The 14,515-nt window shown below is 38.6% G+C and overlaps 1 long non-coding RNA gene and 1 pseudogene across 1 annotated transcript in view, besides 1 other annotated feature; one reads left to right on the top strand and one right to left on the bottom strand.

Annotated features, from left to right (window-relative positions):
* Positions 1-14,515, bottom strand: part of LRIG3-DT (LRIG3 divergent transcript) — a 210,172-nt gene that overhangs the window by 65,138 nt on the left and 130,519 nt on the right. Inside the window, exon 3 of the long non-coding RNA NR_183518.1 lies at positions 9,630-9,732. This is a non-coding gene — a long non-coding RNA (LRIG3 divergent transcript). The remainder of the gene's footprint in view (positions 1-9,629; positions 9,733-14,515) is intronic.
* Positions 9,489-10,688: an enhancer, noted in NCBI's record as "MED14-independent group 3 enhancer chr12:59448831-59450030 (GRCh37/hg19 assembly coordinates)". NCBI's record gives its function as "activates an origin of replication core promoter dependent on BRD2, BRD4, P300/CBP and CDK7 cofactors, and independent of MED14, by STARR-seq in HCT116 cells {active_cell/tissue: HCT116}" and the evidence as "EXISTENCE:reporter gene assay evidence [ECO:0000049][PMID:35650434]".
* METTL15P2 (methyltransferase like 15 pseudogene 2) lies at positions 11,426-12,617 on the top strand (annotated as a pseudogene).

The following is a 14,515-nucleotide window of genomic DNA, read 5'->3' as shown; positions in this document are numbered from 1 at the left end:
GCATGGAGTCAGCCAAAACAGGAGTTCAAACCATATCTCATCGTATAATCTGTAAAGTCTCTTAGAGAACGTTAGGTACCTGTTCTTTGGCCAGTGGGCACAGTATAGAACAACAGATCCTTTGAGGATCCCTATACATGGTTGATCATATACTATTGAGGATATTTTGCTAGATTTATTTACATATTAGAAAAACTTTTCATTAAAATGCACAATGACTCATCTGATTTAGATTTGTGTTAGTTTTTTTCCCCAAGTACTAAGAAACAACTTTAATTTAAATAACCACTTTACGATGCCTCCAGGCAACTGCAGCACATGTTTGGTTATTGATGGTCCTGTAGAGCTTTAACCAGTTATAGAACTCTATAGAATATATATTTTTTTCGGCAGCTTGGCTTTCCACACAAAGGTAAAGATCTTGAAAAGTGTATACAAAGTTTTTAATATCTAGTTAGATGACCCATTGTATGTTTCTAAATATAAATGTGAACATACATATTTGAAAAATCTACCTATATGACATTAAAATACAATTAGATTTTATTTGAAATAATTAAAAACTAATTGGTCACTTAATAACATTAAGTGACACATAAGGAAAATGAGTTAAATAATGTTTCTTAATGAAATAATATTTATTCTTAACATTAATTACCCTAATCATGGCCTTAAACATGCTTTTTGATGATGGCTGGGTCAAAGAGGTCGCCAGAGTTAGGGAGGACAGTAGTAAGGAAACACACCTGCAAACATCAGAAACATTTTGATGTATACTTTCACTTATAGAAAAAGAACAAACAAAAATTCGATAATTTGGAAATACCCTGAACAAGTAAAATTAGCAAACCTATAGCATATTCCTTATTCAGGGATGGGCCATTGTACTATACCCCTAAACAGTCCATTATTATATCCCTAGATTACTTTCTATGTTAATGGAATGGAAGTCTCCAACTTCCATTCCCTAGTCTTCTACCTACAAGTATATACCATCCCTCTTAACAGGTCTCACAGAGGAGCATAAGACTTAAGAGCCAGAAAGTAACTGATAAATCGACAAGAAGTAAGACTACCTATGAAAGGCAGGGGTTGTTGGAGACTGCCAAGAACATTAATCCATCTTCATTTCCCTAATGTTCATCTTTATAGTCAATCTCACAGTATGCTATGAAAGATAAGACAATGGTTAGGTTTTTTTAAACATTTTTAGGTTAGGTAAAATTTCTGCTAATGAATGAGAATGGTCATCATTTAATCACCATTATCAGAATCAATACACCACCCACATCAGCATCCCTAGATGTGCAAAGGTCTTCCAGTACTGCATGGCTGTGCAAACACAGAATCTGTGATTCCGTGGTTCCCTTCCACCAACTGAATCATTAGGACTACAGTCCTGCAAGACAGGTGCCTTGAGGCACCCAATTGTCCTTCAGCATCATGTCCTCTTTCTTTGTGTCAACATGGGAGTAAGAAGGCCAGGTGGTCTGAATAATGTCCATAAAATTCCATCCCCTATTTTCCCATGTGACCATCTTGCTTCCTGGTTGCTATGGATTTTATCTGTGATGTGTAGTATCTGATTCTTGCTGATCCATTTGTATACAACACCATGAGGAATATGTGCAAGTCACTGTTACATCTGGGTAATCCACAAACCTCAAAATGTTTCTCTCTTTTCCACCATGGTCAATTAACCCTCCATTCCAGCACTCTCTGCACCTAAGAGAGCAGAAAGAAGCATATTTTACACACCAGGTTGAGGCTCCACACAACCATCCTCTCATCTTCATCAAGAAACTGTGATCTAGCTTTATTGTTGCTGCTATAGTTGGTTTCTCGTAGCTCCTTTTTTTTTTCTAAAGGTCTCCAACACAGGTTTAAAGAGAACAGAGCCAGAAACTTTAAGCCCTGCCTTGAGGCGCCCAATTGTCCTTCAGCTTCATGTTCAATACTCAAGCAACTGCTTCTCAAATCTCTCTCTGATTAGAATGAAAGTTGTTTCCCAACAGCTGAAGGATCATACTCTTCTTGTGCCAACCTAGACAAAGCCAGTCATTTATTTTTCCTGTCAAACTCTACCAGCCCCAAGATATGTGATATGAACCTAAACTGCAGGGTACACAGCTTAGACCTCAATTTAAGAGCCTAATATGACAGGCAGAATTAATTGCACCTAAGTGGAATGGAAAGAACACCAGAATTAAGAGTCAAAAAACCTGGGCTTCCTCTGCCAAGTCTGCCCATAATCCTGCATACAAGCCAATTCACCTCCCCATCTCTGCTTCTTAATCCAAAATTGACACTTTTGTCTAAAACCTTCAAAATATTTTGAACCAAATTAATTATTTAGAAAATGAAAATAGAAAAATGTCCTGCCTATCTCAGATGATTTACTAAAGTATCAGATGAATTAGCTGTATAAGAGCTAAAACAGTTATTGAGCATCTTGTGACCTCTGATCACACACTTGGAAAAAGGAGGAAAATGGCACTAAACTAGATGTTGGCTAAAGTTTCTTCCTAACCTATAATTCTGTGGTTCAATTAAAGTAATAAATATGCAAGCTCTTCGAAATGTATACTATTATTAAAAATATGCATAGCATGTTTTTATTTTGAATTGACTATCTGAAAAATCATCAATGTGAGCATAAACTAAATTTTCAGCACTTAAGGTATATTTTTTAAATTTCTGGAATAATAAATGACATTCCCTATTTAGAGTATGAGTATATCCATTTTAGAGAAATGAAAGTATAAAATTATCCATTTCAGTAATCCTCTAATTCCCACAGAGAAAATGTAAAGCTACTGCCATTTAATATATAGAGAGCACTTCACATTTTCAAGACTTTTAATTAGATACTCCTCACATAAACTTGAAGAGTCAGAGTTAGTCACCCTCAGCTAATAGATGAGGAAAGTAGAATATAGAAAGTCAGGGGAATTGCCAAAGATTTGAGGCCTTTTAGTAGAAGACAAGATTGAAGAAGGATGTAGACTCTGAGGATTGTGCTTAAAGCCGGGTCAGTGCTTCCCGCCACAAATCTTTGTATTTCAGCCTCCTCCTATCACACAACACACCCAGGAACAGAAACAAAGAAACAAACCACTGCCCTAATGTTTAAAATTTCATATTTAATTTTGTTCTTATGTATAAATGTAAGATTTAAGTGTCATCCATTCATTTGCATTTAAAAATAAACTTTAGTTCTGAAGTTAACTTAAAATTTTAGTTTAAAATCTGCTGTCTTTATTCATGTAGCTGGTTTGTTAAGTACAATGCAAAAGATAAACTTAAGATTCTAATTTTTAAAATTGTTTCCCACTTTCTTATAATTCTACTTCATGGAGGGAAGTTTGGGGTTGTTCTATTTTGATTTAATTTGCTTAGTTTTGTTTTGTTTTTTAATAGTTGGAGAGATAGGGAAAAGCGTTTGCCTCGCCACTGGGTCTGGCAGGCTCCTGTCTTTTCTGGTCACTTTCAGGCAATAAACATCCCTATGATCACATTACATTGCCAACACAATCTCAAGGCAGTAGTTTTAGGTTATCCAGTTCCAGATAATAATCAGAATTATGAGTACCAGTAGATGTCCATCATCTCCCTCCTTCCAGCCAAGGTTTTCTAGAATGGAGACAGAGCTAGCGTAATAAAGGAGCAAGAGAGGAGAATTCTTACGTGGCTAGTACCTGGCCCCACTGTCTGGGACTGGCAGATGTGTAAAGTTAGGCCTGAGGAGTGCTTCTAGCCTTTGGAGGTTCTCACGCAATGTCCCTTGTGTTGATTGGGATAGGGTAAGTATGCTGTGGTAAAAATAACCCCTTAGAATCAATGGCTCAAAACAACAGTTTATTTTCTGTTGACTCAACATGTGCCTCCAGGGTGGCAAGCAGGCTGTGCTTACTGTAGTCATTCGGAGACTTAGGCTAATCAGGATTCCACCACACAAGACATGATTCTAAGATCACAGTGGCAGAGAAAAGAGAATAACGTGCACGTGCTGGCTCTCACATGAAAGCTGAACACCACCTCTGCTCACCTTTCATTAGCCACGCTGAGTTTACTAGGGCAGATATTTATAATTCTCCTGAAAGGCAGGGCACTGAATATAGGAAAATAGCATTGCAGACTACCACCAGTCTGGCTTCAGCTCCCATGGTACAGGATGTTTTCTTCAGTTAGACATCTTGATCCTCTCTACAATTCTGATTTCCCAATGCCCATCCTCCATAAACTCTCACTTCTCTGTTATTTCATCCTCTGGCAGAAACAACTCTAGGCCAAAATTCCTATCATGGACTCTATACCTATGGCCTGGATTTCACGTACTTTTGGCCAGCCCTCTTAGAGGACTACCACTAATTCACCAAATAGAAGCAACTTCCTCTCTTAATCTGTCCTGATGGTAGGAGAGCTCACCAGGCAGCCAGCAGCAGAAATAAATACCCCCACAACTTCAGGTGTCACATACTAAAGTTCTTATCTATCCCACCTTGAGTGGGAGGTACAGATTCTCAGGGCAACAGTTCTCCCCAGTAACATTTCCTTGGGGATTTACTGGAAATTCTCTTTTCTTGACTTTCTCTAGACTTCTGTATTCTTAAAGCATTTGACGAGATTAGAAGTTATGGAACCTGGCAGGCTGTGGTGCCTCACGCATGTAATCCCAGCACTTTGGGAGGCTGAGGCAGGTGGATCACGAGGTCAGGAGTTGGAGACCAGCCGGGCCAATATGGTGAAATCCCGTCTCTACTAAAAATACAAAAATTAGCCAGGTGTGGTGCCGCATGCCTGTGATCCCAGCTACTCGGGAGGCTGAGGCAGAAGAATCACTTGAACCCGGGAGGCGGAGGTTGCAGCGAGCTGAGATCACGCCATCATACTCCAGCCTGGGCGACGACAGAGCAAGACTCCGTCTCAAAAAAAAAAAAAAAAAAGAAGTTATGGAACTAGTTCTTGAGAGTTTTCTTTGACAATGTTGTATATGGTCTGTCACTCACTGAGTATCTGATATCCATCTACCATGTACTGACTTCTCTGTCAAAATTTCCAAATCAACAGTCTACCCTGCCCTCTTATCTTTATCACAGAGGCTGTTTGGCTTAGAACAATTGTTGATGGTCGTGTCTGAACTATAATATCCCTCCACTCTATCTCTGGTAAAATTCCTACAGCACCCATCCATCCACTAGTGTGGACATGGTCTCAGTTGGGGTCAATCACAGTGTCTGAGTCCCCTGGTCTTAGTAAGTGGTTGAGGGATAAACATGTGACCTGACCAGCATGAAGCAGGGCTTTTTTTTCTTTCTTTCTTTTTTGCTGAAGGGGAAGGAGAAATGTTTCTCTTCCTCCTCAGCTGTCTAAAGGAGGAAGAACAACTGCTCTGCCTGGGAAGGCAGTGTTGGAGGGAGCACAGCTACCATGCCTCCATACTACAGGAGAAATAACCACTCTACCTGGTCAGAGCTTCATGCTCATTGGGCCATGGAGTCAGATTACCACTCTTAAAAAGAAGTAATAGACTCTTGCCCCGGATCCTGTTTTCTGTCTTCCAGATATCTAAGAAACACAATGGTCTCTTTTTCTTCTTTGCTGCCATGCAAAGTTAGGGTACATAAGATCTAATTTCGAGAGATAAGCCTGACCAAAATGTCTCTCTCTTTCTCTCATTTCTGTTAGCGAAGAAGCGCATGAAGCAGGCCTTCAATCCTCTGTGAAGCTGGGTAGATAGGCAGACAGTTAATTATGTAGAAGCATAGGTAGTTCTGAGACTAAATTTGAGGAAGGAGTAAACCTATTCTACAGTCAGTCCATTGTTTTGCAGTGGTTGACTTTATGCACTGATCCCAGTTGTTCTAACAGTTGTTACCAGTTATTCTCTTTCAGATAGAACCCAGAAGTTAGGAGGTGTGAGTAATTGGCTTAAAGCACCAGAGGATTTGCTAACTAGAACTGGAAGAGAAAGAACTACTTTCTTTTCAAACAATGAAACTGGAGGAATGTGAGTCTGGAGTTCTACCACACACAGAGAAAACCCATCTGCATCAGTGAAAAAATAAAGCCAACCCACACATAAAGGCAGAGAGTCTCGAAGGTGATGACCTCCAAGGCCTCCATCATCCCTAAGGACAGCTCTGCACCTATACGACCTGCAATTGCGTTACAAGTACCAATAAACCACCTTTGTTTGCTCATGCTAACTGGAATTGGGCTTTGACATCAGCAACTGAAAAAAAAAATCCTGATTGATACAATTCCTGACTGCTTCTTAAGACTACTGACTCCTTCCTCTATATCTTTTCAGCTGCCTATTCCATTGGCCCAGTGCACCAGGGATCTAATAAGAATATCATTTAGAGCCAAACTACACTGGGAAGGACATGTACTCACCTCCGCCAAACACATGCTTACTGGCATTTCCTAACTAGTAATAAAATAGAATAAGTAGATGTACATACTTAGAAGAATAAAGTGGAAATGCACAGGGAAATCTACTCATCCAGTTCACAGCTGTGGCCCATATCCCTAGCACTAAGCAATATTTGGCTCCATTGTTCCCTTTATTGCATTTGCTTCTTGAAAAAAAATCTTTATGGTTCATGTCAGCTCTTAGAAGTAAAGCCAAAGACCATGTTTATACTAAAGCATCTTTTTCTAAGGATTCAAGTGCAGGGGGAGAAATCTTAATATAAGTAAGGAAAGAATTATATGGATCTTTATTTACCAGAGATAATTATTTTATAACACACTCAGAATGCTCTTACCTTCCTTATGCCGCAGATCCTGGTGTAAAATTACAAAACCATTATATTTGGTAAAGAAAATAAGAAATTTTAAGGGTTGTTAACCCATCGTGTTTTTATCACGAGGAAAACCTGTGTAAAGTTATATAGCATGGGTCCTTCTGTAGTTATGATGCACTGAGAAAGTATGTAGTAAGTGGAGGTCCAACCTGGTACTAGCAAAACACAAAGCAGGACAGAGATACTCCAGGACATAGTGATATTATTTTAAAATGGATGTTTAGATGTGGGAGAGGCAATAAATAAAATGGGTTTCTGTAGCTCTATTTCTTTATTTTTATATTAGCTAAAGAGTCTGCTTATATACATAAAGTATATAAAGAAGGTAACAGCTACAATGCTTTGATGCTTTGGCAAAAACTACCCAGAGTGTAAAAGGACCCTGTAAATAAAAGCCTTACCTATGGGTTGCAGGTGCTTACTTTTCCTCAGGACAGTATGAGAAAATAAATAAGTAATGTGCATATAGCATATAATGACATTCTGATGAATGTATTTCCCTCAAGGCTCTTTTAAGCACCTGTTGCCGTACAGTGTATGTTTCTTTGTTCTGGGTGCACTAAATGAGTAAATCATTTAAGGGGTCTGAATCGAAAATTTCCAATATTTTATAACAATATTTTATATGCTGTATAGATGCCAAGTCATATTATTGAAGGAACAAAGATGTTTATTTTGTAAGAAGGAAGGAGCACCTAGGCTATCGGAGATAGCAGTAATCTGACATGTAATAAGGCTGTGTCCTCTTTGCCCTGTTCTCCGCTCATGGTTCTCCCTCTGTGATTATATTGGCATGTGTGTTTTCAGACACAGCAGAAGACGGGAATGAACCGCTGGAATTTCAGGTCCACCATGTACAAAATGGGGCCAGTCAGTGTCACAACCTTCAAATTGTGTGGTGAAAAATTATGCATATTTTTGAGTCACTTGATTTTAAAAACGATAAAGATAAAATGATTGGGTTTTAAAATATTCTTTGTAATTCCAACTTTTTGTGAAATATATTCTTATCTGTAGAAACAAGATATTGAGGTAAGGGGTCATTTAAAGTCATTTAAAAGATGTACTGCTCAGAAACATTCTAAGACCAATAGGGCTCGCTTTAGTAAAAAGAGAAAAATAAATCCTAAAAATATTAACAGATTTTAACTTGGGTTCTAAGTTAAGACAACATAATATTAAACATCTCATAATATTCATCAGATTTTTATTAGAATTAAGGCCTCAGACAGGCAGAATCTCTACACAATATGTGAGCAGGTTGTGGGTACATCAGTACTCACAGGTTAAGTTTGTTTTGTCTTTTTTTGTCTTTCTTACCACCAGCAGAAGAGATAAAATTGCAGTGAATTTGTATCCTAATCCAACCTAATTCCCTTTCTTTACCAGTAAACTGTATTAATTGGTTTTCTGAAACCGAAATATTAGGACTACCAAGTGGAAAATAATTTGTTGTAAGCCTTCTAAACACTGTGATTGTCTCTAGTGATTTTTCTTGCAGGAGGAAGAGCATCCACGAAACTGTCTGCACCCTGAATACAGCCTGTAAAATTACCCTGTCCTGGCCAACGTAAGAGGGGCAATCAGCAAGTGGTCATGATTATCAACAAGAAATAAACAATGAATAGATTAGAGCCTACAATACTAAGCAGTCTTACTGCAAATACACTGCACTTTGCCACTCTAAGATGGCACACATTAAACTTTCCATTGTGGATGAATTTACATCTACAGCTTTAAAGGAAGAGTCTGGAGAAGCATAGCAGCTTCTGGGGCCTCTCCTCTTGGGCAACGCTTTCCATACACTTACATGTTAGGCATTCAAAAGAGAAGAAAGGAAGTGACAGGGTGTGAATAATCCTGGCGGAGATTTTCCTGTGGCCCCCAAATTTTGTAAATATAACAAAATTGTTTGAAAACAGTAGCAGCAATCACCAGCCCCAATCAAAATCATTTCTGGCGGCAAATCATTTCAAAATATATCTGTTATTGATGAACAGTGCTCATTTTACAAATTGTTTTTCAAATTTTTAATTAAAATAACATACAAATTTCTGTGCAGTAGGATAAAGAATAGTAGGTTTCATTTGATCAATGCCTATTATACATCAGGCACTGCACCAGAAACTTTGTAGGAGCTATCTTAATCCTTGTAAGAATTCTATAAGCAACTGCTATTTTGCCCATTTTATAAACAATGAAACTGATAACCCTACCATGTTAAATAGATTCCCCAATATCAAGCATCCAGTAAGCTATGAATATTTAAGCTTAGGATGCTTGAATTTCAAATCTTGGGATATTAAATTTCAATATTACTTATATCTCAGAGATTAACAAGATAACACACACTTTTTTTGTTTTTGTTTTTGTTTTTTTGAGATGGAGTTTCACTCTTGTTATCCAGGTTGGAGTGCAATGGTGCAATCTTGGCTCACTGCAACCTCTGCCTCCCAGGTTCAAGTGATTCTCCTGCCTCAGCCCCCCAAGTAGCTGGGATTACAGGTGTGTGCCACCACATCTGGCTAATTGTGGTATTATTAGTAAAGACAAGGTTTCACCGTGTTGGCCAGGCTGATCTCAAACTCCTGACCTCAGGTGATCCATCTGCCTCGGCCCCTCCAAGTGCTGGGATTACAGGCGTGAGCCACCACACCCAGCAGATAACATGCTATTTTCAATGAAATATTTTTTCAAAGAACCTGTTAAAGATACTGTTGAGTCTGCCTACAAATGTGAAGAAAATATCTCTTCTTTTGCATCTTGAGGTTCCAATGTCCGTGCCCACACTTAGCTAGTACTTCTCAGTGCACTTACCTCCCTGAAGGTGAAACCAGATGGCTCAAGAGCTGTAGTTCAGGCCAGTTACCTTCACTATTCTATCATACAGATTTCTCCAGAGAACATTCCTTCTCCCACCCTGGAAAAAATAAGGAAGTTAAAACATAGCCTAAGTATTACAAGACAAATTTATAAAGTTTTATATGGTGCAAGATTTTTCAAACATTTATGAGTGTATTTCTTCTCATAATTTTTCCCTGTAAACATTATGGCCTAAGAATAGTTTCAAGAAACTTTTGAGAATCACAACTATATATTTTATTTATTATCACAATACAGTGAGAATATGGCAATAATGGTTAACGAATTGAGCAACATCAGAGGCAGATACCATTTTACTCAGTTTGGAAATGAGTGTTTGAATGTTCACAGGTAGGTCTAGAGCTTGATATTCAGCTCCCAGACTGCATACATAGTAATGACATCTTGTTCCTAGGTTACATAGCAGTGACTAATTTCAGTGCAGCTGAGTCATTTCCTTTAGGATTGGAACAGATTACTTTCTCTTTGGTTAAGCACAGGTATATTAATGTGTTTGAACTTGGGAAGAAGGTTTTATTAGATATAAAGGTGATAAAAGAGAGAGAGAGTCAGAGAAAGAAAGAGAGATGCTTACAGTGTGAGAGGATGAGGAAACATGACTGATAAAGGAGCACAGATTTGTGTTTCAAACCCAGAGTTCATTCTGAATGGGATACATGCTCACTGAAATGGTAAATACATTATTTGTTAACACTTGAAATTATCAGTTTTCTCTTCTTTTTTTTTTCCTTTTTTTTGAGAAATTGAATTTGATTAAATCAAATGCACTTATAATGGGGTTCCATCATGTTGATACAAGAATTGTTAGGGTACATGGAGAGAAAAATATTTCTTGGATTATTCTCCCTGGTTACTAAAGACAAGAGTCAATGTCAGAGGAAATCCACTGTGACCAGGACCCCGCTGGATTAGTTTCTTAGGGATGCTGCAGCAGAGTACCACGAAAAGGAGCCTTGAAACAACAGACATTTATTCTCTCACAGCTCTGGAGCCTAAAAGTCCAAAATCAAGTTGCCAGCAGGGCCTTGCTCCCCTCTGAAGGCTTAGGGGAGATGATTCCTTGCCTCTCCCAGCTTCTAATGGTCCAGTCTTTCCTTGCCTTTGGCAGTCTACCTCCAGCCTTTGTCTCCTTCTTCCTGTGGCCTTCGTCCCTGTGCATATGTGTCTGTGCTCTCTCCCCTAAGGACACCGTGAGCCACTGGATTTAAGGCCCACCGTAAATCCAGGATTATTTCATCTGGAAATCCTTAACTAATTACATCTGTAAATACCTCACTTCCAAATAAAGTCACATTCTGAGGTTCTGAGTGAACATAAATTTTGGGGGACACTATTCAACCCCCTGCACACCCTCAGACATAAGGAAGAGATGCAGGCCCTTACTCTGTCTCCCACTCTTCAAACAGCTTCACAGATCACAAACACAAAAATATGTCCACACATGCCAGGGGCACAAACAAAAATGTGTATGTATTAAAGAACGCATGAGCACCTCTGTATCTCAGGGTCTGGCACGCAGCACCATCACAGCACAACCTGTGAGCCTAAACATCTCTTCTGTGACTCAAACAAATTAAGCCCCAAGGAAATGTTTTTCCTAATCTACTGCTCTATGTTCCTAGGACAGAAGGCATCTATCTACAAATGCCATGATTATGTGGGTTGGCAGAGAGTGGTTCTGAATGCAAAAAGAGTGTAAGTGGCAAAAACAGTTAAGAAAGAGAAGACAGAGTTTCCCTCAGGGGTAAGACCTGGGCGTGCAGCAAATTCAGGTTCTCTGGCACTGTAGTGGTAGTCGCCGGCCCAAGTTAGAGGCCAGCTGAGAAGTCTTCGTGCCTCAGATTTGCTGACCTACAGAATGCTTCAGTATCCTTATTTTTGTAGAATGTATAAAGAATGTCTTTCATGTTGGTTGGAATCTGGCATACCTAATTTAGGTATCTGGCCAAAAAGAATACATACTACAGCAGAAAAATATGAAGAATATGAAGCCCAGTAGCAAACAGACCAAACTCAAGCCCAGGAGTTATGCAGATCTCAAGATAGAGATTTTGAAACTATGGCTAAATTACATACTCCAGTAACGGTGGATGTTGTTCATTGTTTGTCACCACAAAAAGGACAGATTTTTTCTAGATATGACATTTGGTTCGGGAGGGCACACAAAAGCCATTCTACAGAAGGAGTCAGATATTGTTCTGTATGCCTTGGACACAAACCCGACAGCTTATGCATTAGCTGAACATCTTTCAGAGTTGTATCCTAAACAAATCCGAGCTATGCTGGGCCAGTTCAGCCAGGCAGAAGCCTTGTTAATGAAAGCTGGAGTGCAGCCAGGGACTTTTGATGGAGTTCTTATGGATCTTGGGTGTTCCTCCATGCAACTTGATACTCCTGAAAGATTTTTCCCTTTGGAAAGATGGCCCCTTGGACATGAGGATGGATGGTAGCAGGTACCCTGACATGCCCACTGCTGCTGATGTTGTGAATGCTTTAGATCAACAGGCACTTGCTTCTATCCTCAGAACATACGGGGAGGAGAAGCATGCCAAGAAAATCGCTTCAGCAATTGTTCAGGCACGCAGCATCTGCCTCAGCAGCTTGCCAACATCGTCGCAGGTGCATTTCCTCTCTCTGCTATTTATGCACGAAAAGACTTGCTATAGCGACCTACCCATATTGCCACCAAGACTTTCCAGGCTCTTCGCATATTTGTGAACAATGAGCTCAATGAACTCTACACAGGACTGAAGACAGCTCAGAAGTTTCTGAGACCTGGTGGTCGCCTTGTTACCCTCTCCTTCCATTCACTACAGGATTGCATCGTCAAAAGAACTCGCTTGAAATAGCATGACAGAAAGGTTTAACCTAAGTGTTAGACAGTAAGTGATGAAAACATTGCAATTGAGTTCAGACCACGAAAACACAGAAGGCGGCTCTATGAGAAGAGCTCTTTTAATGTGGGAATTGATATACAAGAAGGTACTTAGTCCATAAGATCAGGATGTACAAGATAACCCCAGAGGGCGCTCAGCCAAGCTTAGAGCCACTATCAAATTATAAGTTACCATCATCTTATTCTTCAAATTTTTTCTGCAGTTTCTCTAGTCTTTACTCATGGTATGTTCCTGAATGTCTTGATATAGGTTTAAGTATGGGACAGTCTAAAAATTGATAACATTTAGCATTTTTTTTCCTCAAAAAGAAACTGTGGAAAATATTAGCATGACAGAGAAAGTTCCACTCAGGGAGTAGCATCTCAAGACCGGAAAAATGTATTAATTTTGCATCACATTGGACTCTTGAAATGCAATCCTTCCTCTGGCCAGGAAATTTTTTTTAATAATACTATGTTGTGTTTATCTAAATACGTAAACTCAAGCTGTCAAAGAGAAAGATATTATAATCATATCTGCATGTCCTACATTTTGAATTTAGATGTTCTAATTTGCGCTGGGTGTGGTGGCTCACGTCTGTATTCCCAGCACTTTGGGAGGACGAGGCAGGTGGATCATGAGGTCAGGAGATCAAGACCATCCTGGCTAACACGGTGAAACCCTGTCTCTACTAAAAAATACAAAAAGTTAGCCGGGCGTGGTGGTGGGCGCCTGTAGTCCCAGCTACTCGGGAGGCTGAGGCAGAATGGCATGAACCTGGGAGGTGGAGGTTGCAGTGAGCCGAGATCACGCCACTGCACTCTAGCCTGGGCGACAGAGCAAGACTCTGTCTCAAAAAAAAAAAAAAGATGTTCTAATTTGCAACAGTCTTTCTCTGGCTCAAGTAATGATGATTATGGAATGAATTTTAATGTCCCTACTTGTGAATAATTACTATAGCTTTCTCAAATGTAGGCTTTTTACAAATTTTATATTTTAAAATATTTGTTTAAATATGTGTTATACTGATAAAATTTCATTTTTCAAATTATTGTCTATTACTTTTAACGGATTTTTCAGTATGATATGGCCATTTTGTTCATGTATCTCAAAGTAAAAATGTAAAATCCTTACAGAGAATTGTTTCACAAAACTCATATTTCATGTCAATTGTATCTAATAATAGATCACAATGCCTTTAGTAAGTAATAAAGTCTCTTATTAGAATCTTGTATTTTTAATTGAGCTAATCAAAATAATTCAGCCAAATCTATTTGAAATAGAAAGCTATCTATTTAATATAGTAAAATCAACACTCCCTTAATGTTGTTACAAAGATATGGTAACTGTAATAAGGGTAAAAGTTTATTCAGGAAAAGAGTGCTTGGTAGAAGATTCTTTAACAAATTGATGAGATTGATTCATAATTCACATGTTAACTTTTTATGTGTAATATGTACTTCTAATTTATTCAGTTATTCAGTGAGCACTGAACTTGTCATTAGAAAAGCAAAGGTAAGTACAATATACATGGCCCACAATACATGTCCTGTAGAGGTTAGTAGAGGAAAATTATGTTAGTTATAATCACAAAAATCAATACAAAATGGACACAGTGGTAAATACTACAAATAGGTCATGCATGGTACTGTAAGAGCATCTAGTAAGGATTTTATCTGTTGTCAGAAACCAGGTATGAGAACATCATACTTGAATTGTGACCCGAAGGATGAGTTGGAGATAATTAGTCAAATGGCACATGGGGTATGGAAGGAGGCATGTTGATGAATGATACATATAAATAAATACTCTCTTAAATAGTTAACCTTGAAATCATATTTATATGCTATTAATGTGGTTAGTAAACTTTTTTCAAATACAGAAAAAAGATTCTCCATTATGGTTACAAATTTTAAGTTGGTGAATCCAAGTGAATGAAATATC

Source organism: Homo sapiens, chromosome 12, assembly GCF_000001405.40.
Source record: "Homo sapiens chromosome 12, GRCh38.p14 Primary Assembly".
NCBI classification, from domain to species: domain Eukaryota; kingdom Metazoa; phylum Chordata; class Mammalia; order Primates; family Hominidae; genus Homo; species Homo sapiens.
This window is presented reverse-complemented; position numbering and strand designations above follow the sequence as displayed.